Below are 21,365 nucleotides of genomic sequence, written 5' to 3'. Positions count from 1 at the left end.
GGACTGAGACGGCTGGAAATTAGAAGAGAATTAAGAAAAATAACTCGATCAATTAGTAATCAGTGCAACAGGCCAGCTGCTCCTACTGCAGCAACACAGACTTGCCAGTATCTGTAACTGAGAAATACTAGGTTTTGTTGCCTGCTTAATGCCATCAAAAAACAAAGTTAAATCTCATGAAATGCTTATAAATGAAGGCTTGGGAACCTCCAATAAAACTATAAGTCCTTTTATACATCACTTCTTTTTGTCTTAAGCAGCAATAGCTAACATCACGTAAGACGTTTATTATATATCAAAGACCATGCCATTTGTTTTACACGTACCATTTCACTTAAAAATAAGAACAATCCTGTGGGATAGCTATTATAACTATCTCCCACTTTACTGATGAGGAAAAAGAGGTGTAGAGAGTTAAGTAACTTCCCCAAGGTTACACATGGGAGAATACTGGAGTCTGGATTTGGGCCCCAGGGAACTGATCTCGAAGACCTCATTCCTATCATTATATTTTACTATCCCTCTTCTATGCTGTCTTCAATACGGATTACGCTATTCTGTAGTAATTTCATGAGCAACTTGTCAGAGCTGTGGCCCTATGGTCAGCATATTTTTTACTTGTTAACATTACATATGCTAAATTTTTGCTGTGATAAGCAGTATCTTATTCGGGTAGGATATATAAATACCACATATTTATAAAATTCTCTAATTTTAACTTCTCTTCACCTTTTTAATGAGCTTAAGCTGAAGCTCTGAGTCTTTTCTTAAGTAATAAAACTGTCCTTTATTCTTTAGGGAAACATAAAATAAAATGTATACATGAATAGTTTTCCTTTGCAAGCACTTTGTTTTATCTGTTAGATCTCTCAGTGAAATCATAATCTTATGTTTTACAATAAGTACTTCCTGGAGACTGCCACAGATTTTAGCGTCAGAATTTCACTGCTGCTCTCAGTAGACAAAGATTGGATGTTTCCAGGGATCTTTAAGAAACGATAACTGGATGGGGGTGGAAGGAAGACACAAAAAGGGAGAAAAGAGGGAGAAGCATAAAGGCAGGAGAAGTCCAAAAACTGAATTTTTGAAACATTTTCTTAAGGATGAATTATTCCAAAAATATTGACAAAGCAGTCCTTTGAAATTAGGGTCCATCCTAGATCATTTATGGATCAACAAGAGTGAATCAAGAGGGACCTCAAGAGATCTCCTACTTGATACTTACAACCCAAAGTCTCATTAGGAAGCCCTAGAAGTGAGAGAGAGAGAGAAAAAAGGGAAAAGGCAAGCCCCAACAGAGCTCTGTATGGAGGGCAGAGGTACAGCAGGCTGAAAGAAGAAAAATTCTGCCTCATTGGGCTACAGATCCATTTCCTCTGGGCAGATCTGAGTCTATCTGAACAGAGCCATAGAATACCTTTGCATTAATCAGAAAAGGGCACCCATCCTCCAGGCAGTGAGCCCCCCAATGGACTCACTTGCTTGGACTACATAGTAGGGAGCTGGTTTTCAGACCCACCTTGCATGGCAAAACCTGCACAGCTACAGTTGGTAGCCCTGATCTTGCCTTCTCTCTCTCCAACAAGCATGTGGCACTAGAGGAGACAAGATTGAGAGTCAGAGCAGCTTCTACTACTGGCGCTGTCATCAGCTGTGAGACTCTGTATGAATCATTCAACCTCTGCCTCCATCTCTGAAAAATGATGGGGCTGGCTAGATGTCACCTAAGGCCTCCTTCCTCTTACCAATTCTCAATTGAAATCTGGTGATATCTAGTTGGTATATTCCAAACTATATCCTTAGGATACAGTGGCTGAGTGGAACCTTTAAAGTTTTCTTAAGATTGCTTTTTTTCCTCTCACATCTTACCTCTAACGTTACTTTTTCTCTTTTAATTTTAAGACCATACTCTGCTTTCAACCCCAAAGTGCTCAACATTTTTTAGAGCCATCAAAAGGTCACCTACCATGTACTGTCCTCAAACTACCCAAATATCCACCAACAAAATGGATAAAGAAACTGGGCATATTCATTCACAGAAATAACAGAAAAAAGACCTATTGCGACCTACATCAATTTGGATATATCACATGACATTATGCTGAGCTAAAGATGACCAAAAAATGTGTATTTTATTGCATTTAAATGCAGTCCAAAAACAGTTTAAAACTAACCATGACAATAAAAGTCAGCATAATGGTTATCCTGGGGGCAAAGATGATGACTGTAAAGAGAGGCTGGTAATGTTCTGCTTCTTGATTTGGATGCTAGTTGCCCAAATGTGATCATTTTGTGCTGTACACTCCTGATCTGTGCATTTGTCTGGTTGTGTATAATTCAGTAACAAGTTCAAAGAAATAAAGCTACAGGGACCAAAAAAAAAAGTCATCTACTGAAACTGTACACACAAGTGCTACTACCTGTGGGGAGAAAATTAATTACATTTTATTTAACCCAATCAGAGAGAAAAATCATCTGAAAAGCTAAGTGAGAAACTTCATTATATTTCCTAAAATATGCATCAAGAAATTGCTTAATTTTTTTAAATGATTTCCTCCCTCACATGAAACTGTGGCTATAAATTAATTCAAAATATTGTTTTTCCCTCTGTCTTCATGTATCAGTAAAACATTATTGCTCAAAGTTGTATAAAACATGTACAAAGATAATGTTGTTGGAAAACATCTGAAAACACCCCCAAGAGGATCCATTTGGAATACTGAGAGTCTAAATAGATATTTTTGGTCAGAATTATCCCAATTATCAGCACATTAATGCAATGACCTGGATAATGACCAAATCTCTACCTAGTTTCTTGATATATCAATTTAACTCTGCTAAGACAAGACCATACAGCTGGGGAAAGACATTCAAGAAAATGCCATGCTAGCCGGGCGCGGTGGCTCAAGCCTGTGATCTCAGCACTTTGGGAGGCCGAGGCGGGCAGATCACAAGGTCAGGAGTTTGAGATCAGCCTGGCCAACATGGTGAAACCTCATCTGTACTAAAAATACAAAAATTAGATGGGCGTGGTGGCAGGCACCTATAATCCCAGCTACTCGGGAGGCTGAGGCAGGAGAATCATTTGGACCCGGGAGGTGGAGGCTGCAGTGAGCTGAGATCAGGCCATTGCACTCCAGCCTGGGCGACAGGGCGAGACTCCGCCTCAGAAAAAAAAAAAAGAAAAGAAAATGCTATGCTACAGACCACTCCAAGGAAGCTCCAGGAAAACACTGCCTTCTCCTTGCGACTGTATTTGGTTCATCTGTGAATTTGTTTCAGCACATTTTTCTCTTCTTGACTTGAAGCAATACAATCAGCTGAGAGATCAATGATTTCTTTCCCCTTCTCAGTGTTCTGTAATTCATCTTTGATCAATATGGTATATATACTGCATGACTGCTCTGTTCCATTTGATATATACAAAAAGTGATCATACACAAACTTGCATCAGAAGTAATTACATCACTAAATCGCATAAAGTAATGAGAAGCACAGATTGCTTGTTTCTACCTAAAACTTCATAATAACTTCAGCCATTACTGCTGTAGAGCCCCCTCTGGTCCCACAGCATGGGAAGTAGACATTAGTAGTTTCCTCAAATGTTGGGGGACTAATTAAATATTTGTAGAATCATTAGCACTTAAACAAAAAATGTTTCCAGTCTTTGAAATGGGAAGTGGCTTTTGGAGTGTACGGGATACAGTTATAAGCATCCAGTCCCTGCACATTATTTAACACCAAACTAGTGATTCAACACAAAGACAGGCAAAATTTCCAGGATAACTATCAATTAGCAGTCCTATTTCAAGTTTGTATACAGATCTTATAGGGCACCTTGATTCTAATCATTCTGATCCTTTTTTCTCAGCTAAAAATACCTTATTCTTTAATCTACACTTCTAAACAGTAAGTTCTCTCTACTTCAGCCTTGTTTTAAATACTTATCCTTCTAACTTTTTCCTTGCAATTCAATGTCCAGTATTCCACTTCCTCGTTCCTCTCAAATTATCCCTTTAACTTGTTTCTACTTACTTTTAAAGGCCCCCAAAGCCTCTTCCTCAGGATAATGTGCAATTCAGAAAGCCCTCTCAACTACCCTCTGTATAAAAGTTTAACCACAGAGACCAACGATAACATTTTTCCTGTTTGGGTTTTGGGGAACATACATTATAACTGAAATTTCACTACTCATAAAACTCCTTCACTAAATCTTTCCCATTCCCCTCTCCTAACTCTCCATTGTTTTATACACAATCACGACATAAACACACTCCCAAAATGTGTAATGATATAATCATACAAAGACTTTCTAAAAATACATAATTTTAATGTGTGCAACAAACAGCCTTTATAACTCTAGTACTGGGAGTACACGTTTAAAAACATACTGACTTTTTAATAAACTGTGTTTGTTTTTCCTCGTTGGGGGTGGGGAGGAGGTAGGGGATCATCAAACAAGGACCAATTGCTATACCTGAATCCACAAACTGTGTTACAGTAGGATTCTATTGAGGATTGTAAACACACTTAAAACTTTTTTTTTTTTTTTTACTTTAAAAGAAGAAAGTTGAAATTGCAAAAATGAGAGCCAAAATTTCTATGCTTTACCCATAAGGATACACAAACTGAATACCTCCTGTTTTCCCACTTATGAAAGAAATATGCTTCATCTACCAAACTAGGGCATTTATGAGGTTTGTATTAATGAACAGAAAAATGCAAAAATGTACAAATGCAAAAAACTTTCTATCCTTTAGAAGACTTAATATTAAAATGATTTTAGGGAAAGCCCAAGAAATCTCATTCTCAACTCAGAAAACTACCTAAGGGATAATTTGTGAATGCCATCTGGGATCCAGGCAGTCCCATCCACAAAAGGGAAAACTTGTTGAGATCATCCAAATCTAAAATTCACATACATTTTTACATCTGGACTGAATTAATCTTTTCTTGGTACTGGCTTTCATGTAATAAAATAATTGTTTGCAGGTTTTATTTTTCTTAAAAAAAAAAAAACCCACAACTTTAGAAATCAAAATGTGCAACATCCAAATCGAAAACTACAAAGAATTCCTTTATCAAAAAAGTTAGTTGTGAGACAGGACTCATTTACACTCAACTCTGAACCTGACAGCTCAGTCAAAAACAATTATGTTTGAAACTTTCATTCCAAGCATCTGCCACAAAAGGCTACGCAGTCTATTACATCATAAGTTCAGAAAGCCAAAAGCTTTATAAGTATAGTTAAATGTGGAAACAAAATCCAAAAACTACAAAAAGACCCCCCCCCCAATTCAGCTAACCTAGTTCAGTAACAATTTTTTTTAAGAATTTGTAACTAAAAACCGCTACCTAGCACACTGGCATTTTGCTTTCAAAAGCAGCGTCTTCATCCAGGCCCATGCTGTTTTCAGGCGTTTTCCTGTACAGCCAGGAGCATCTTAAATCTCTAAGTTCAAATTATGTACTTAAAACTAGCAGCTTACCCTTGTTGCCCCCAAAAAGGAGATACTGGAAATAGGAAAGATTTCCTGCCCCTTAAAATGTCTTGAGTACTGCAAGAACTGCTGATTACTGTAGCCCATCAGTGTCAGATCTCAGAGATTCTTGCAAGCAACTCAAAGGGGGGAAAATTAGTTCATATTACAGTCAGTCTGCTTTCTGGAGAAGATGTCCTGCAGATAATTTGATATTAGATATCCCCTGGGGGACCCTTTTCATCTAATAATCCTACTAAATGTCCATTTTAATATGAAATATGAATCCAAAATGTTTACAAACATACTGGGAAAAGTATTCAAATGCCAGCTGTCTCATATTGTGAAGTATTTTCATTTTTAACATAAAACGTTTATTTCTCAAAGCCACACCTGAGAAAATGATTAGGTGCTGTGGTGCTGTTAAGTTTTATACTACAAAGGACATCAGCAAAGGCATCTGTTTTCCTGCCTCTCTTCTGGTCTTCTCCCCTCCCCCACTCTCCATCCTGTAGGTCCTGGTAGTTAAAATTTCTACAATAGTCTCATAATGCTCTAAATTCTAAAAAAAAATTTCTCATCCTTTAACACTGCTGAACCTAAATTCATGCACTGCTCTAAGAAGGAAACCCAAAAGTCACAAGCCTTTTTAATGACAGATGTATTACGGAAAATTTTCCCCACAAAGTTTTGATGCTGTGAAATATCAACTCCCTGAAATCACAGAAAGGAAATGACTTACATTCTTGGAAAATGAAGCCACTAGCAGCTTTCTCCAACAGCATTTTCTAAACCCCAAACTACACCCTGTGGCAAGAGGGAGTATTTCGTGCAAAAACTAAATTTAAATAGATGCTTATAAAACCCATAAACAAACATTGCCCGGTCCCAGAGAAGAACAGAAGGGAATCATACTCGGAAAATCCAGCAAGAGATACTTTTTCTCCACATTCAGAAATGCTGGAGAGCACAGGCTGGAAGTCAGAAGCAACCTGAGAACGCTTGCTGAAGTTTTCCTTCCCTGCTGTGAGCAATGCACAGCTCCTGAGGGAAATACTGGCAAAACAGATTTTGCGTAAAAAAATAAAAATGAAAAGGTGTTAAGGGGGAAAACGAGCTAATATTTCTTTGGACACTAGCTACACAACTACACGGCCTGAAAATCTGCCAGCTTTCAACTTTAAAATATGCTTATTTTGACATTTTCCCATCTATTCGTGCCTTTAAGAAAACGCCCGCACCATTAGGTTATGCTGTCCCAGGACTCGAGGTGTTGTTTTAATCTCTGTAGACTTTACACTTACACGGGTGGACCGCAGCTGTCCATACCTGACAGTGCCTGGCCCTCCCGGAGCCGAATCCGGTGCTCCTGTTCGCCTGGGGCTCCGCCAGCGCGCCGTAAGCTCCTCCAGAAACCCAAATTCTGCAGGCCGCACCCCCAACTCGTATCTCACCCAGGCCCCCGTCTGGCGCCGATCTGCCCCAGCTCAACCTCCGGCTCCGCAGACTAGGCACTTTCCGGGACGCGGGGCAGACCCTGCGCTCGGGTCCCTTCCCGCAGCCGGGCTGTCCGGCCTCTGCGCGCGCACAACAGGCGGCACGGCGCAGCCCCCGGGAGCGCGGGACTCGGGTGCTAGTCCCGGCGCCCAGCCACAGCGACACAGACCTGGGTGCCGGGGCCCGCCAGGGAGCCCTGTGATCCGGGGACCTCCGCGATGCAGAGAACCAGGGACCGCGCACGGAGCCCAGGCGCGCAGTCTGCAGCCAGGACCAGCCTCCCGCCCCCGCCGCTGAAGCCGCCCCGAGCTCCACGCCTCCCCCGCTGCCGGGCTCGGCTGCCCTAGGGCCTCGTCCGCCCGTCCCAGAGTGAGCGACCTCCGACTCACGGAGAAGCGACCTTACCACCGGTGCCCGACACCCAGAGCTAAGGGAGCGAGAAGAAGGCGAAGAAAGAGGCGGAGAGCGGTGCACTGCCTTCGCTGGGACTCGCGACTTCCAGAAACCCTCCCGAAACCCAGTCCCGCCGCCGCCCCGCCGGCAGGGGGCACAGCGGGCGTCCGGGGCGCGGCGGCTGAGCGATGGGGCGAGCGGAAAGGGCCCAGACGCCTGGTTCTTGTTCATACCTCGGAGAAAGTCTTGAGCACCAGGCGTTGGGCTCTCTGGTCACCCCTCTGACTCTTCCTACCGGCGCCGAGCCTGCCCCACTCCTCTCAGCCCCTTGGCCCCGCCAGCCAGAGGGGCGCTCCGCGTCCGCCCCGCCCCCCACCCACGCCTCCCGACCCGACCCGCCCCCCCGAATCCCCGCCCCCTGAGACCCCGCCCCCGACCCGCCCCAACTGGCCGCGGCGGCAGCCGAGCCGCGGGAGCTGCGCGCTGAGCTCGCGGCAGTACGGGGAGCGCCCGCCCGCCCCGCCCTGGACCCAACCAAGCGTCCCGCGGAGGGGTGCGGCCACTTGGGGGCAGGAGAAAGCGGAGTACGCCACCCCTCTAGGGACCCAGGAAGCGAGGCGAGCCTCAGGTGGACGCGGTGGTGTGGACCACGGCGATCAGGGCCTTTCCCCCTGCTGTGGAGACGGAGGTGCGAGGGGACGCCGGCGGCTCCCCACCTTCTGGCCGAGTGGCCTTCTCCGCCTCCGGCTGGACTCCCTCGGGGCGCTCCCTCCAGAGCCGAGTCGGGCTGGCCGGGGGCGGCTGTTTGGCCTGAGTGTCGTCTTACTAAAGCGGAACGCCGGAGGGGAGGCCACTCCGAGAGAAGGCGGTCCCCGGCGGAGGTGGCTTCGTGAATCCTGCAGCCCCCTGCCCGCCCGCCACTCGAGACGCCGCGCCTCGTGGGTTTCACGCTGGATGGAGGGGGCGCCGCCGAGGATGCCCAGCCTCCCCCTCTAATTCTACCTCTCCAGTTCCTCAGGTAGACACAGCCTCTGTCTGCTGTGGTTTTAGTGCCCATGGCCCCTCAGAAATTATTTTTGTCCCCTCCCGATAGTGGCTTTGGGGGATGGAGGGCGAGAGATGCAAAGGGCCAGTGGAAGATTTTTTATAGCACAAGGAATCAAGCCAGGAGATGGAGGTTTCATTGCCACCTCGGGGTCTGGGGAGGGGGCGAGCCACACCTCTCCGGTCAGTCTGCGCCCACCAGGACCTGCTGCTGGGAACCGCACACGAAAGGAGAGACACCCAGCACCTGGCCCCTAGACCCGCAGGGCGTCAACCTCCTGGGCTTCTGCCTTTCTAGGTTTCCTCTGACTTTGCTGACCCAATGACCCCTGGCCACGGGTGGCAAAAACGCCCTCACTGAGCCCTTCGCTAAAGGAGTGCCGGGGTTTATGTGTCTGGCTTTTAAAATGGGATGAGGAGACAAGGAAACAGGACCTGAGAAAGGACACTATCCAAAATCTGATGCTCTCAGAAGTCAACTTTAAAACTGCCCTGCTCCGCGGTGGCTCACGCCTGTAATCCCAGCACTTTGGGAGGCCGAGGCGGGCGGATCACGAGGTCAGGAGATCGAGACCATCCCGGCTAAAACGGTGAAACCCCGTCTCTACTAAAAATACAAAAAATTAGCCGGGCGTAGTGGCGGGCGCCTGTAGTCCCAGCTACTTGGGAGGCTGAGGCAGGAGAATGGCGTGAACCCGGGAGGCGGAGCTTGCAGTGAGCCGAGATCCCGCCACTGCACTCCAGCCTGGGCGACAGAGCGAGACTCCGTCTCAAAAAAAAAAAAAAAAAAAAAACTGCCCTGCTCTTTTCATCCAAAGATGAATATATGAAGCCAGCTGTTACTGGTTGAAAGTGTGCCTCTTGTTTGCATGGCAAAGGAATTCAGTTTTGTGTTTATTTACAGCTGAAGCTCTCTTGAAATAATTGTCTCAGTCACAGCTTTTACATTTTGGGGAACCATGCCATTAGAACTGAATATTAGGAACTGTGATCTTTTGTCTTTTCACAATTGACAATACATTCAGAACTTATTTCTGATAAAACTGGGCAGTTTCTAAGGATACTGTACTTATGATTTAAAGTCATAACTCCATGATGCAAAAGAGAACAAGAAATATGTTTCAATGACTGCCTTTTAAATTAGCGGTACTCCAGCACTTTGGGAGGCCGAGGTGACAGGATCGTTTGAGGCCGGGAGTTCAAGACAGCCTGGGCATCATAGCCAGACCTTGTTTCTACTAAAAATAAAAAATAAATAAATTTTCCGGGCATGGTGGCCCATGCCTGTAGCCCCAGCTACTCAGGAGGCTGAGGTGGGAGGATGGCTTGGGCCTAGGAGGTTGAGGCCACAGTGAATTATGATTACACCACGGGACTCTAGCCTGGGTGACAGAGTGAGACCCTGTCTGAAAAAGAAAAAAAAAAATGTAGCTGTACTTAATGTACTAAAGTTAAAAATTGGATAACAATAGTTGAGGACAGTGTAGGCATTTAAAGGTAGAGGATTGCACTTTTTTTCTCATTTTTGTCTTTTATATGCATCAGAATGAGTGCATATTGTATACTACTTGGTAAGGTCTTAAATTAATTTGGTACCTACTGAGATAATCCGGCATTTCATGTGTAAAGATAAATTAGATAAATGAATAATATATCACTATCTTGGAAAACAGTTCCTAAATCTGATTTATTTTCAGGTTTCATGAATCAAAATCTAACAGATAAACAACAACATATTGGTAGGCGTGAAACATTGCTGCAAATATAATTAGGTAAAACAAATAGCAAAATATTTGGAACAGTTTAAAAAAAAAAGTGTGTTTAAGAGTGGGCTTGTTGTCCAGAATTATATTGTAGGAAAATTCACTATGTGAATATTTTCTGAATCATAGTGATAATATTAACAGTATAAATACCACATTAAACAGAGACTCTTAGTTAAAATATTTTGCAAACTAAGTATTTTAAACTCTTAAAATCAGTTATATAAACTCCTGTAACATCATCAAATTCTGAAAGGACTGATTGGGGAAGTAATACATAATCTAGTAAAGATGGAAGGGGAGCTGAGAAAGGATGTGTTGTTTTAGATATTTCTTATCACAGAAAACGTTTAAAACGTTTTTCTGTGCTTATTACAATAAAGAATGCAACTGTGTGGGTAATAATTCAAAGTTATATTTTATGTTTCTTCTTAATGTTGGGATGTTTTATTTTCACTAATATGATGAGATGTTTTTCTAAATATGGGACATTGCCCACCAGGGAAACATTATTTTAAACACATCCTAAGCAATTACTTTTTCCATGGCATTTAAATATTAACACAACTCTACATTTTTGCTTTTGTTTTTCTTAGGAACAGGTTATTCATTCTATGAATTTATTGGGTTCTCCCATGCACCAGGCAAAGGGTTAGATTCAGAGATTCAAAAATAAAAATACTCCTTAATCTTATAGTAGATTAGGGGAACAGACACGTGAGTTAACAGTTACAACATAGTTAGTTCATGCTATGGTAGAGATACGCAGGAAGAATAGTGAGAAGGCCTAGGGAGGGAGAGCATCAAACATCCCCTGTGAACTGAGAAGGGAAGGATAAACAGAAGTTTGCCTGAGAACAAGTTGGTTGAGACAGTGCTCTCAAACTTGCAAGCACGTTGGAATTACCTAGAAACTTTCAAAAACTATTGATGCCTGTGTCTCAGGCATATAATTTAATTGGTCTGTGGTATGGCTTGGGCTTTGGAATGTTTTAAATATCCCCAGGTTATTTTAAGTGTAGGCATATGGCAGAGGACACAGAGTGAACAAGCACACAGAGCCATGCTTTTAAAGCATGATGGCCATAGCCTTATTTTGAGAGGTGTAAACTTTGGTAGGTGGTATTTGTACATTTTGGTGTAAAGAACACAGTAATATAGAAAATGAGATAAGAACTGCTGTAATTCACATTCCTTTACAGGTATTTTCTAGACACCAGGATAGTATGTTGACAATTAAGATTAGCATATTAGAAGAAAAAAAATTATTTTTATCTTTTGTATAATTCAGGCTTATTGGCTGGGCGCGGTGGCTCATGCCTGTAATCCCAGCACTTTGGGAGACGGAGGTGGGCAAATCACCTGAGGTCAGGAGTTCGAGACCAGCCTGACCAACATGGAGAAACCCCATCTCTACTAAAAATACAAAGTTAGCCAGGCATGGTGGCACATGCCGGTAATCCCAGCTACTCAGGAGGCTGAGGCAGGAAAATCGCTTGAACCTGGGAGGCGGAGGTTGCAGTGAACTAAGATCGCGCCATTGCACTCCAGCCTAGGCAACAAGAGCAAAACTCCATCTCAATAAATTAATTAATTAATAATAATAATAAATCAGGGCTATCCAGCATTCAGAGTATGTTTTAATGCTGATATGTAAGTTCTAGTCTAAGAGAGAAGTCAGTGATTTAACATACTGGCTTTTAAAGAATACTTTTCCAGAATTAAATACCGTTCATCATTCTGGCTGAAGGTCATAATAAAGAAATTAAGTTCATTTTTCTTTTTGGTAATTACTGAGATTCATTTTAAAAGCAAAACAAAAAGTACTTTAAACAAACAAAATAAATTTAATTAAGTCCTACTTTAAGGTTTTAGATGTCCCTGTAGCTAATGAAAGAAAATAATCTCACATGGAAACTTAAATAGTTTAGTGTTATGGTCCTGATTTTCACTGCCTAACATTTAAAATGCTCTTTTTATTATTCTCAGCTAGTAAAATAAAGTACCCAAAGAGACTTTAATGCTTAAGAAAAGTCAGGAAAATTGATTATCATTCATTTAACCCAGCTGTCTAATTACCATACACCGGGAGCCCCTAACCAGGAATACGCATAATTATTTTTCAGAGGCAGCATAGCACGGGGCTTATGTAGCAATCTAACTCAAGAAGATTTACTTTTACCCAATTTATAGAAATACAGAGTTGAAAAAATTAAATTCATTAAATTCTATTCTCCTGATCATCAAATTTTGAAAAAAAAATATGTAAAAGTAGAATAACTTGATTATCCAGGGTCAAAGTTTCATTTTAATATGGTTTACAGGGGATGTATTTAAAGAACTACTTTGTTTCCATTCTATTATGGCTTTAATTTCACCACAAACATCACAATTCCCATTCCTTGAGGGCTTGAATACTAGAATACTCCAGATGTAATAAGAAAGGTTTGATAAGGCTGGAAGGGCCAGACCCTGCCCCTTGCTCTTGGGAAGGTGTTGCACAATGTAGAGAGAGGGCCCATCGTAGAGAATTACACTGGCGTCTTGGAGTTGAAAGGCATAGCGGCAAGGCAGTGCTAGGTTAAGGGATACTGCTACTAACTAAAATATAGTTGAGGAATTATGTATAAACATGGGATTGCTGCCTTATGCATGAGACTTTACCTTATACAGAAGACTGAAGATAGAAGAGCTCTAGTACAGAAAAATGTCAAGCAGAAGGGCAGGACAAAGGGTGGATTCCCTACAGTATGAAACTTAACTCATGTATTCTGTTTGTGTGATATACAATGGGTCTTAAAGGTTCCAGAGTAGTTTTGCAGCTCTGATTCTTTGATCACTCACTGAAAACCTGGGGGAAAAAAAAGCTTACCCCAGAGTTGGGAGGCAATTCCCTCCACTCCCATTAGGATACGCAAGAAGAAAGGAAGCAGCAATCTATCTGGTGACAGACTGGTTACTCTTTGACTTATGTCTCAGGCACGCTCTGATTATCTGAGATAATATTCTCAGAGGATTCCTTTGAAACACTAGTGATAACATTATGGAGGTCTTGGGCCACTGAGGTTCTCTTCAGTGGGTTTTTTTTTTTTTTTTTTTTTTTTGGATATGGAGTCTCGCTGTGTCGCCCAGGCTGGAGTGCAGTGGCGCGATCTCGGCTCATTGCAACCTCTGCCTCCTGGGTTCAAGCGTTTCTCCTGCCTCAGCCTCCCGAGTAGCCGAGACTACAGGCGCGTGCCACCACCCCCAGCAAATTTTCTGTATTTTTAGTAGAGACGGGGTTTCGCTGTGTTAGCCAGGATTGTGTCGATCTCCTGACCTCATGATCCACCTGCCTGGGCCTCCCAAAGTGCTGGGATTACAGGCTTGAGCCACCGCACCCGGCCTCTCTTCAGTGTTTTGTGATATCAATGTGTGCCTAAGACATACTGAACTGGAACAGTGGGAGGGGTGAACATCTGTCTTTCAGAATACGCATGTACAGCCTGGCCAATGCTGGCTTTCTTGAGAATACCAACAAAAGTTCCACTGGCAAAGAGCATTTATGAAACCTGTCCATTCTGTTTTAATTTAGTTACCCTGGGTAGGTTATAAGCATAACAAATGTGCCTTTGAACTTGTTTTTGATTGCTTAAGAAAGAATCATGAGTAAAAGTACAAATAAGATATCCTAAGCCAAATGTGGTGGCTCCTGCCTGTAATCTCAGCACTTTGGGAGGCCAAGGCAGGTGGATCGCTTGAGCCCAGGAGTTCGAGACCAGCCTGGATAACATAGTGAAACCCTATCTCTATAAAAATAAAAAATAAAAAAATAAAAAATTAGCTGGGCGGAGTGGCTTGCAGCTATGGTCCCAGCTACTCCTCAGGAGGTTCACTTGAGGTGGAGGTTCACTTGAGCCCGGGAGGTCAAGGCTGGAGTGAGCTGTGATCATGCCACTGCACTCAATCTGAGTGACAGAGTAAGACACTGTCTCAAGAAGAAGAAGAAAAAAAGGCTCTCCTAGCTCTGGAATTTCATGGGAAGTTCACTGAGGCTAAAGGACTTGGTGCAGCCTCCAAGGGACACCCTACCTGTCCATGGTGGTTGGGATTTGGTTATAAAACAAGATGCTGATGTGCTAGCTATACTAACTGGTTGGATGAAAGGAAGACAGTACCTTGAAACACCCGACATAAGATCGCTGTTTCTCCTCTCACCTGATTCTAGGTTAGAAACAAAATCTGCATTCATTTTGATTTGGCTTGGCTATGAAACCAAATGCCAGAAAATATTAAGAAAGTTTTCTACAGGCAAGGTAGTGGTTAGATTTTTCATTTTCAAAGGTAGCCTAATAAATTATTCTATTAGCCTAAACAGACTTCTTATACTTCAGTTCTTCAAGGAAAGAACACTGCTAATTAGATCATGGAGATTGAATTAGAAATTATGGATTGGAAGATTGGTCTCAAAGGACCCCAGATTCAGATGTTTACTTTTGACATGTATGGAGAAAAGAAAGTACTGGCCAATAGCACTCTTAACTAGATTTAGCTTCAAGAGGAAGACTGGGGGCGAGGAAATACGCTCTCTTGTAAAAACATTTTTATATATTTGTTATTCCTATATAATTAAGCCATACATTCCATGTGATTTCTTGAGCAGAAAAACAGAATCAGCATTTTTAGTGATTTTCTGTTCTGCAAATAGTCCATATTGGATCATTTTGTCACACTTATACCCCAATTTAAAGGATAATGAGGAGACACATTAATATATGATAGTTTTATGTACAATACAGACTTAATATACAAATCATTGTGAAATATTAACACATCACTTATTTTTATAGCACATTTTACTATCTGATTTATGAATATGTTAACTGTCTCTCCTTTTAGAATTTAAGCTTCACGTGAGCACAGATCTAAAATCTCTCTAACTGCTATGGCCCCATTCATCTAGAACAGTATCTGACACATATTTGTTGAATGAATGAATCCCATAAATTACACGTAGAGATCAGGGAGGGAGAGAGAGAGAGAGAGAGTGAGTGAGTGTGTGTGTGTGTGTGTGTGTGTGTGTGTGTGTGAAGGGTGAGGCAGAGAAATCTGAGATGCACTGAGATGAGAACAGAAAAGGATTAACATTTTTTGAGAAGCTTCTGGGCCGGATATCTCAGGTATTGATGAAAAATGATCTATCCCTTAAGAAGCCTTGGTTGATTTGAATGGGACACCTTATATCACTCAGTTCACGTAATGTTTATTTTTTTCAAGTGTCAATGTATGGTATAATTAATATTCTATTGATGTTCCTTATTGTATATTTTATTTCTATTTTTAGCCTTCCCCCTGCATTGATATCAGTGGATCTAATTCAAATTTGGGAAGGATTACCTATTTTTGATGTTCTGTGATGTTGATTGAATAACTAAAACTGTAATTATTAATTTCTTAATAAGAAATCATTCAACTAAAGTGAAACTATACTTAACTATACATCCTCCAGCTTTTCAAGATATTAAGAAGTTTATTAGCAGGATTTTACTAGAGTGGTTATTGTTGAATTCTTTGCTCACAAAACATTTTGATGAGATACGCTTGGGAACAGAATAGTTTGAGTTGAACAAGGAAAAATGTGTGGCCTTGCCTCCATTTGCTCAGCCTCCGCCACCTCCATCCAAGGTTTAACTGCACCTTGTGTTTCCTGGAGCTGCTCCATCTCTGAACCTTTGGACTGGAAACTACTCTGTCCACCACATCTGCCACTGTCACCATCTCCCCCTAGACTTTCAGTCCCCAAACCCCTCCCTGTTCTTTCAGTTTATTAGCCGTTTTTTGGCTTGACTTCTTTCCTTTTCAGTTTAATCGCTGAGTGGTCTCGTGTCCCAATCCCTTTGACCTTCTAATCCAGCTTTCTTAACAATCCCAAAATTCAGGTCAACTCAATCATCCGTTTTCTTACATTTTGCTTTAAAGACATTGAAGAAGCCTAAAGAAAATTGAATAAATGAGTTGATTAGTCACATCACCAAGACAACAGTTTGGTCAGTGAAACACTCATAGCTGTTGGGTCAACTTTTTATTCATCCCTGCCTGGCTGTCTTTCCTTTTCATCACACAGTGACTGTTCACATGTTTATGACTCTCCACAGGTTCCTCATCCCACTCTGAAATCCTGCCACTCTCAATGGTCAACCGAGCCTTACTCTTGCTGGTCACTGATCTGTGACGTTTATATGTATTACCTTGTTGAATCTTCACAACAGCCCTTTGAAGAAGATATTATCCCTGGTTTACAGATGCCCAAGTTCTTAAAGAAAATAAGTAGTGATGCTTGGATCTGAACCTAGGAAATCTGACTCTAAGCTCATGCCCTTTGTCCCTAAACTGCCTTGCTTCTGGTACAGACTTGGTCAGGCATTTTCTCCCTAGAGCTTCAGTCCTTTCCACCTACAGATTTTTCCGTATCTTTCTCCTAGGCCATTCTCTCCTGACTCTTCTCAGTTAATCTCCTCCTACCAAAGCTCTGTATCCCCTGCTCCCCTGGCTCTTTTAGGGCTTTCTCCATCATTGATTTGTTGATTCATTTAGCAGATACTTATTAAGTATTGTATACTAGGTCTTAGGGACACAGGTAAACAAAACCTAATCTCTAGTCCTGGAGCTTTACATTCAAATTATTCCTCTAAAATATTTAACATCTCACCATGCCCTAGGCCATCTTCCTCCTACAGAAATGCTGAAGTGACTGTATATTTCATACTACATCTAGCACCACACCTGATGAGGCACCAGGAACATGTTTGACAGAGGGACAAATAATTCCAGGTAAAGTAATCAAGCTTTGGAAGTTTGTTCTTAGTCTCTAGCCTCCTTTGTATTATTTATTTATTTATTTACTTAGGAGATGGAGTTTCTCTCTTGTCGCCCAGGATGGAGGGCAATGGCGTGATCTCGGCTCACTGCAACCTCCACCTCCGGGTTCAAGCAATTCTGCCTCAGTCTCCCAAGTAGCTGGCATTACAGGTGTGCTCTGCCACACCTGACTAATTTTTCTATTATTAGTAGAGACAGGGTTTCACAATGTTGGCCAGGCTGGTCTCAAACTCCTGACCTCAGGTGATGCCCCCACCTTGGCCTCCCAAAGTGCTGGGATTACAAGCGTGAGCCACCATGCCCGGCCTCTGGCCTCCTTTTTCTAAAAAGTAGCCCACTTCAGATGTTGAAAACCCTCTCTCTCTCTCACTATGTTCCCTTCTGAGCAGACTCAGAAAGGTTCTGAAAACCAACCCTTTGCCATTAATGACTGACTAGTTGTACTTTCACTGAAATCCCACCAAAATCACCTCAAACTAGTACCTACAGTTTAAGCCTTTAAGTCTATGATTGTGAAACAAAAGGTACGTGGCCTTATTAATAAATTTTGGCATCTGTAAGGTGGGAGATAATCGTGAGACAAGGGAACCTTCAAAGCCATATTTTGTCACTTCTAGTGGTCCTTGGATAGGGGGTGATTTTGCCCCTACGAGAACATTTGGCAATGTCTGGAGGTATTTTTGGTGTCACAGCTTTATGGGGAAAGCGGGGAGGAGGGACAGTGCTACTGTAGGCTTCCAGCAAGCAGAGGCTAGGGATGCTGCTCAACGTCCTACAACACAGGGGACAGAACCTCACAACAAAGAATTGCTGCCCCGACTTGAAAGCCACTGATCGAAAGGGTGAACTTGACTGGAACATTGAGGTGCCCTGTGAGTCAGGGCAGTTAGTATCTGGGGGATGCTGGCTGAGCCTGCCAAGTGTCTATTGAAAAGTTGCTGGAGGTGAAGGATCATGTCTTTGGGACCTAAAGAGTGAGATATTTGGACTCAGTTTCTGCCTCCACCGTTCCCCTAACTTTATTTGGATCTTCCCACAGCCCCAAGACGTTCAGTACACATTTTATCTCGTCCTAGATCACCTTCTTTTTTAGTATGTAGAGATTTTGAGGGGAAAGGTAAATAGGAGACTCTTTCTCAACAGAGGTAGGATAAGATTTATCTTAATCCCAATTAAACAATAGTGAAGACCCAAAAGAAAAAAGTTGGAAACCTAAGCTTTTCACTTAATAGCAATGAAGAATCAATTTATTGAACAAAAATTAAGTCTTAAAGGAGGAGAATAGGCAGGGCATGGTGGCTCACACCTGTAATCCCAGCACTTTGGGAGGCTAAGGCGAATGGATCACTTGAGGACAGGAGTTCAAGACCAGCCTGGCCAACATAGGGAAACCCCCTCTCTACTAAATAAATAAATAAATACAAAAAATTAGCAGGGTGTGGTGGCATCGCCTATAATCCCAGCTACTTGGGAGGCTGAGGCGTGAGAATTGCTTGAACCTGGGAGGTGGAGGTTGCAGTGAGCTGAGATCGTGCCACTGTACTCCAGCCTGGGTGACAGAGCAAGACTCTGTCAAAAAAGAAAAAAAAAAGGAAAGTTATGTTAATAAAGTATAAACTCCAAAATTTAACCAGAAGTTAGTGGATATTAGCTCTTACCATGGAAAATTATCATTACTTAAATAATTTGCTAAATTTTATTTTTAAGTGGTTTAGTAGAAATATATTTAATAGATGAAACTATGTGTGTTTTAAACAAATAGCTACTGCCAAATATGTAGAAGTAAACATTGAAATGATTATTAGGGCTATCAAGAATTGTTTGTATAAATCAAACCAATCAGATTCATATGGATTAAAGCCATTTTCTTATTTTTATACTTTTATTGTTCATCATATCACTAGCATTTACAATAAAGAATATATAATTATGAATTCAAATATACTCAAATTCTCATGAAGACAAAACCCAAGAAGAATAGTTGTAAACGGGATCATTAAGCACCTTTTTCAAATATTGCCTGATTTCCACTTAGACTTATTAGCTGATTGCTTTTAGACAGTGGTTTCCAAACTTGGCAATGTATCAGTACCATTTAAGAACTGGTGACAGGGCCAGGAATCTCCAATTAAAATATCAGCAAAAAGATCCAAATGATTTTGATACCCATTCATGACATACAGGTAGTTGCCCTGTTGATGCTTATACTAAAACAAGTTTTAAATGAAGAGGCCAGATCTAAAATATTTCTGAAATGTTTAATTTGAAGCCCCAAAATGCTTTAGGTATTGTAACTCTATCCTTACCTTCCAAGGAATAAAAACGTGGAGGGGGAGGAATGTGGTAAAATGTGATTAGTAATCTTTTTGTCACAATAAGGACATTGACGTCAGTGCATCTAATTCAGATTGGGGAAGGACTGCCTGTTTTTAATTTTCTGGGATGTTAATGGAATAACTAAAACTGTAATTATTAATTTGGTCAATAAGAAGTCATTCAACTAAAGAAAGCACTGGAACCTACCAGTCTTAGTGAATAACATAATTGCATCTAGTCCCCAGAAGCTTCTACATCAACCTAATAATGTATACATGAATCATATTCTTAATTAACATTTCCATAAATATGCTGAAGGGCAGCTCAAAGAAAATGGAATACAGACTGAACAGGATATACAGGCATCCCAATTTCTACTCCTTCCCATTCATAGCTTGCTCTTTTGATGCTGCCTAATAGATATCTCTATATTTTACATATATTTAGGGACATATTTCATCTCCACTGTACTGACCCACTAAGGGCTTTGGCTCATAGATAAATACGAGGTTGCATGGATAGATACTGTTTTATTCTATGAACGACAAGTTCAAAAGGGTGGTTTCCAGGAATGCAACGCATTTGAAATAATCATTTAAAATAATGACAGCTGATCATCTACTGTTTACTGTGTGTTTTAGATGCTATGCCAAGTTTAGGTTTATTATCTAATTTAGTCATAACAGCACATCATGAAATAGGTACCATCATAATTCCTATTTTACAAATAATGAAACCAGAAAACAGACAAGTTACCCAAAGTTAGTAGCTTATTAATAGTGGAGTTTAATAATAATAATTATTTTTTTTTTTTGAGATGGAGTCTTGCTCTGTCACCCAGGCTGGAGTGCAGTGGCGCAATCTCAGCTCGCTGCAAGCTCCGCCTACCGGGTTCACGCCATTCTCCTGCCTCAGCCTCCCGATTAGCTGGGACTACAGGCGCCTGCCACGACGCCCGGCTAATTTTTTGTATTTTTAGTAGAGACAGGGTTTCACCGTGTTGGTCAGCATGGTCTCGATCTCCTGACCTCGTGATCCGCCCGCCTCAGTCTCCCAAAGTGCTGGGATGTAATAATTATTTTTGTGTGTGAACTCGGCAGAGAAGTATGTAAATAATTTTTTAAAAAACAAAGGAAAAGAAAAGTCCTGTGGCAAAAAATGGGAACACCTAGTTTTAATAAAAAAAAAAAATCCTGACACTTGAAGTGTCCACTTTCTTAGCAGAGAGTGGCTGATTTTCGGACAGCAAAAACTATGTATCAGAAAACCGGGAGAAGAACCCAAGATATGTCCCTGCTCAAACTGATTCAAACTTAGATATGTATATGGAACAGGAAGGACTGGGAACAAAATTCTTAGCCCATTTCTAGTGGGTAGAACATTTAAAAATAATTACAAGGAATTATGTGAGGTCATTTGGCAAGAAGGAGTCAATAGGGCAGTGTTGGATGACACCTCTTCCATTCCAACAGTGTAAGCTCTACTGTGTCTTAAATTGATCAGACTAAAAAAGAATGATCAAAGTTCTCAGATAGGTTGCTACACCCCTCTACATTCCATCTGCAACTCAGCTTTTGTCCTTCAAGTTTCTAATTGCTTCATTTGAGCCATACACTCAGTATAAAGGAGAAAGTTGGACAATCTGGGTCACAAATGGGGAGCTGACTGACAGTCCCCTGGAATCACCTTTGCCTTCAGTCCCTATCATTGCGGGAGCCAGGTTGTAAAATCTAGCATGGAACAAGAGGCTCATCTGTCAGCTGTGGCTCCCGGAGCAGTAGCCCGGCAGTAAGTGTCTCCAGGAGGAATGTGAACAATGCGGAACCACCCACATCTGGAGGCTCCCAGTCTCAATGGAGTAGTAGGGACAGAGTTACTGTTTGCACTGGCATTGGGGATTGGCACTATGCTATCCGCTCTCACTCAGCTTATTACCCATGGAAGGAATTTGGCAAACTTTTTTTTTTAAGACAAGGTCTTGCTCTGTCATCCAGGCTGGAATACAGTGGTGTGA

General features: G+C 41.8%; 1 protein-coding gene and 1 long non-coding RNA gene across 32 annotated transcripts in view, besides 7 other annotated features; one reads left to right on the top strand and one right to left on the bottom strand.

The window, feature by feature from the left end:
• The window catches only part of FRMD6 (FERM domain containing 6), a 334,297-nt gene that overhangs the window by 71,128 nt on the left and 241,804 nt on the right, over positions 1-21,365 (bottom strand). For 6 of the 31 annotated variants that reach the window (XM_047430936.1, NM_001267046.2, XM_047430937.1 and 3 more), the window contains exon 1: positions 7,604-7,690. The exons of 14 other annotated variants lie outside the window; for them this stretch is intronic. The gene's annotated coding sequence lies outside the window, so the exon portion shown is untranslated. Of the gene's footprint in view, positions 1-1,519; positions 1,596-6,809; positions 7,691-8,086; positions 13,238-21,365 lie in introns of those variants that run through there. 11 more of the 31 variants (XM_006720029.2, XM_006720030.2, XM_047430938.1 and 8 more) reach the window with 6 other exon arrangements.
• Positions 6,917-7,066: a silencer, noted in NCBI's record as "silent region_5740". NCBI's record gives its function as "represses an Ori minimal core promoter by ATAC-STARR-seq in GM12878 lymphoblastoid cells {active_cell/tissue: GM12878}" and the evidence as "EXISTENCE:reporter gene assay evidence [ECO:0000049][PMID:35858748]".
• Positions 7,077-7,136: a silencer, noted in NCBI's record as "silent region_5739". NCBI's record gives its function as "represses an Ori minimal core promoter by ATAC-STARR-seq in GM12878 lymphoblastoid cells {active_cell/tissue: GM12878}" and the evidence as "EXISTENCE:reporter gene assay evidence [ECO:0000049][PMID:35858748]".
• Positions 7,147-7,236: a silencer, noted in NCBI's record as "silent region_5738". NCBI's record gives its function as "represses an Ori minimal core promoter by ATAC-STARR-seq in GM12878 lymphoblastoid cells {active_cell/tissue: GM12878}" and the evidence as "EXISTENCE:reporter gene assay evidence [ECO:0000049][PMID:35858748]".
• Positions 7,447-7,896: a silencer, noted in NCBI's record as "silent region_5737". NCBI's record gives its function as "represses an Ori minimal core promoter by ATAC-STARR-seq in GM12878 lymphoblastoid cells {active_cell/tissue: GM12878}" and the evidence as "EXISTENCE:reporter gene assay evidence [ECO:0000049][PMID:35858748]".
• Positions 7,856-10,084, top strand: FRMD6-AS1 (FRMD6 antisense RNA 1). The gene has a single exon (NR_037676.1). It is a non-coding gene; the product is annotated as an FRMD6 antisense RNA 1 (long non-coding RNA).
• Positions 8,027-8,096: a silencer, noted in NCBI's record as "silent region_5736". NCBI's record gives its function as "represses an Ori minimal core promoter by ATAC-STARR-seq in GM12878 lymphoblastoid cells {active_cell/tissue: GM12878}" and the evidence as "EXISTENCE:reporter gene assay evidence [ECO:0000049][PMID:35858748]".
• Positions 8,027-8,687: a biological region, named in NCBI's record as "H3K27ac-H3K4me1 hESC enhancer GRCh37_chr14:52117631-52118249".
• Positions 8,069-8,687: an enhancer, noted in NCBI's record as "H3K27ac-H3K4me1 hESC enhancer chr14:52117631-52118249 (GRCh37/hg19 assembly coordinates)". NCBI's record gives its function as "activates a minimal SCP1, AML or CMV promoter by ChIP-STARR-seq in primed H9 embryonic stem cells {active_cell/tissue: H9 hESC(primed)}" and the evidence as "EXISTENCE:reporter gene assay evidence [ECO:0000049][PMID:30033119]".

The sequence above is a fragment of the Homo sapiens genome, chromosome 14 (genome assembly GCF_000001405.40).
Source record: "Homo sapiens chromosome 14, GRCh38.p14 Primary Assembly".
Classification (NCBI taxonomy): Eukaryota; Metazoa; Chordata; class Mammalia; order Primates; family Hominidae; genus Homo; species Homo sapiens.
Note: the sequence above shows the minus strand (reverse complement) of the source record. Positions and strands in the feature narration are given on the sequence as shown.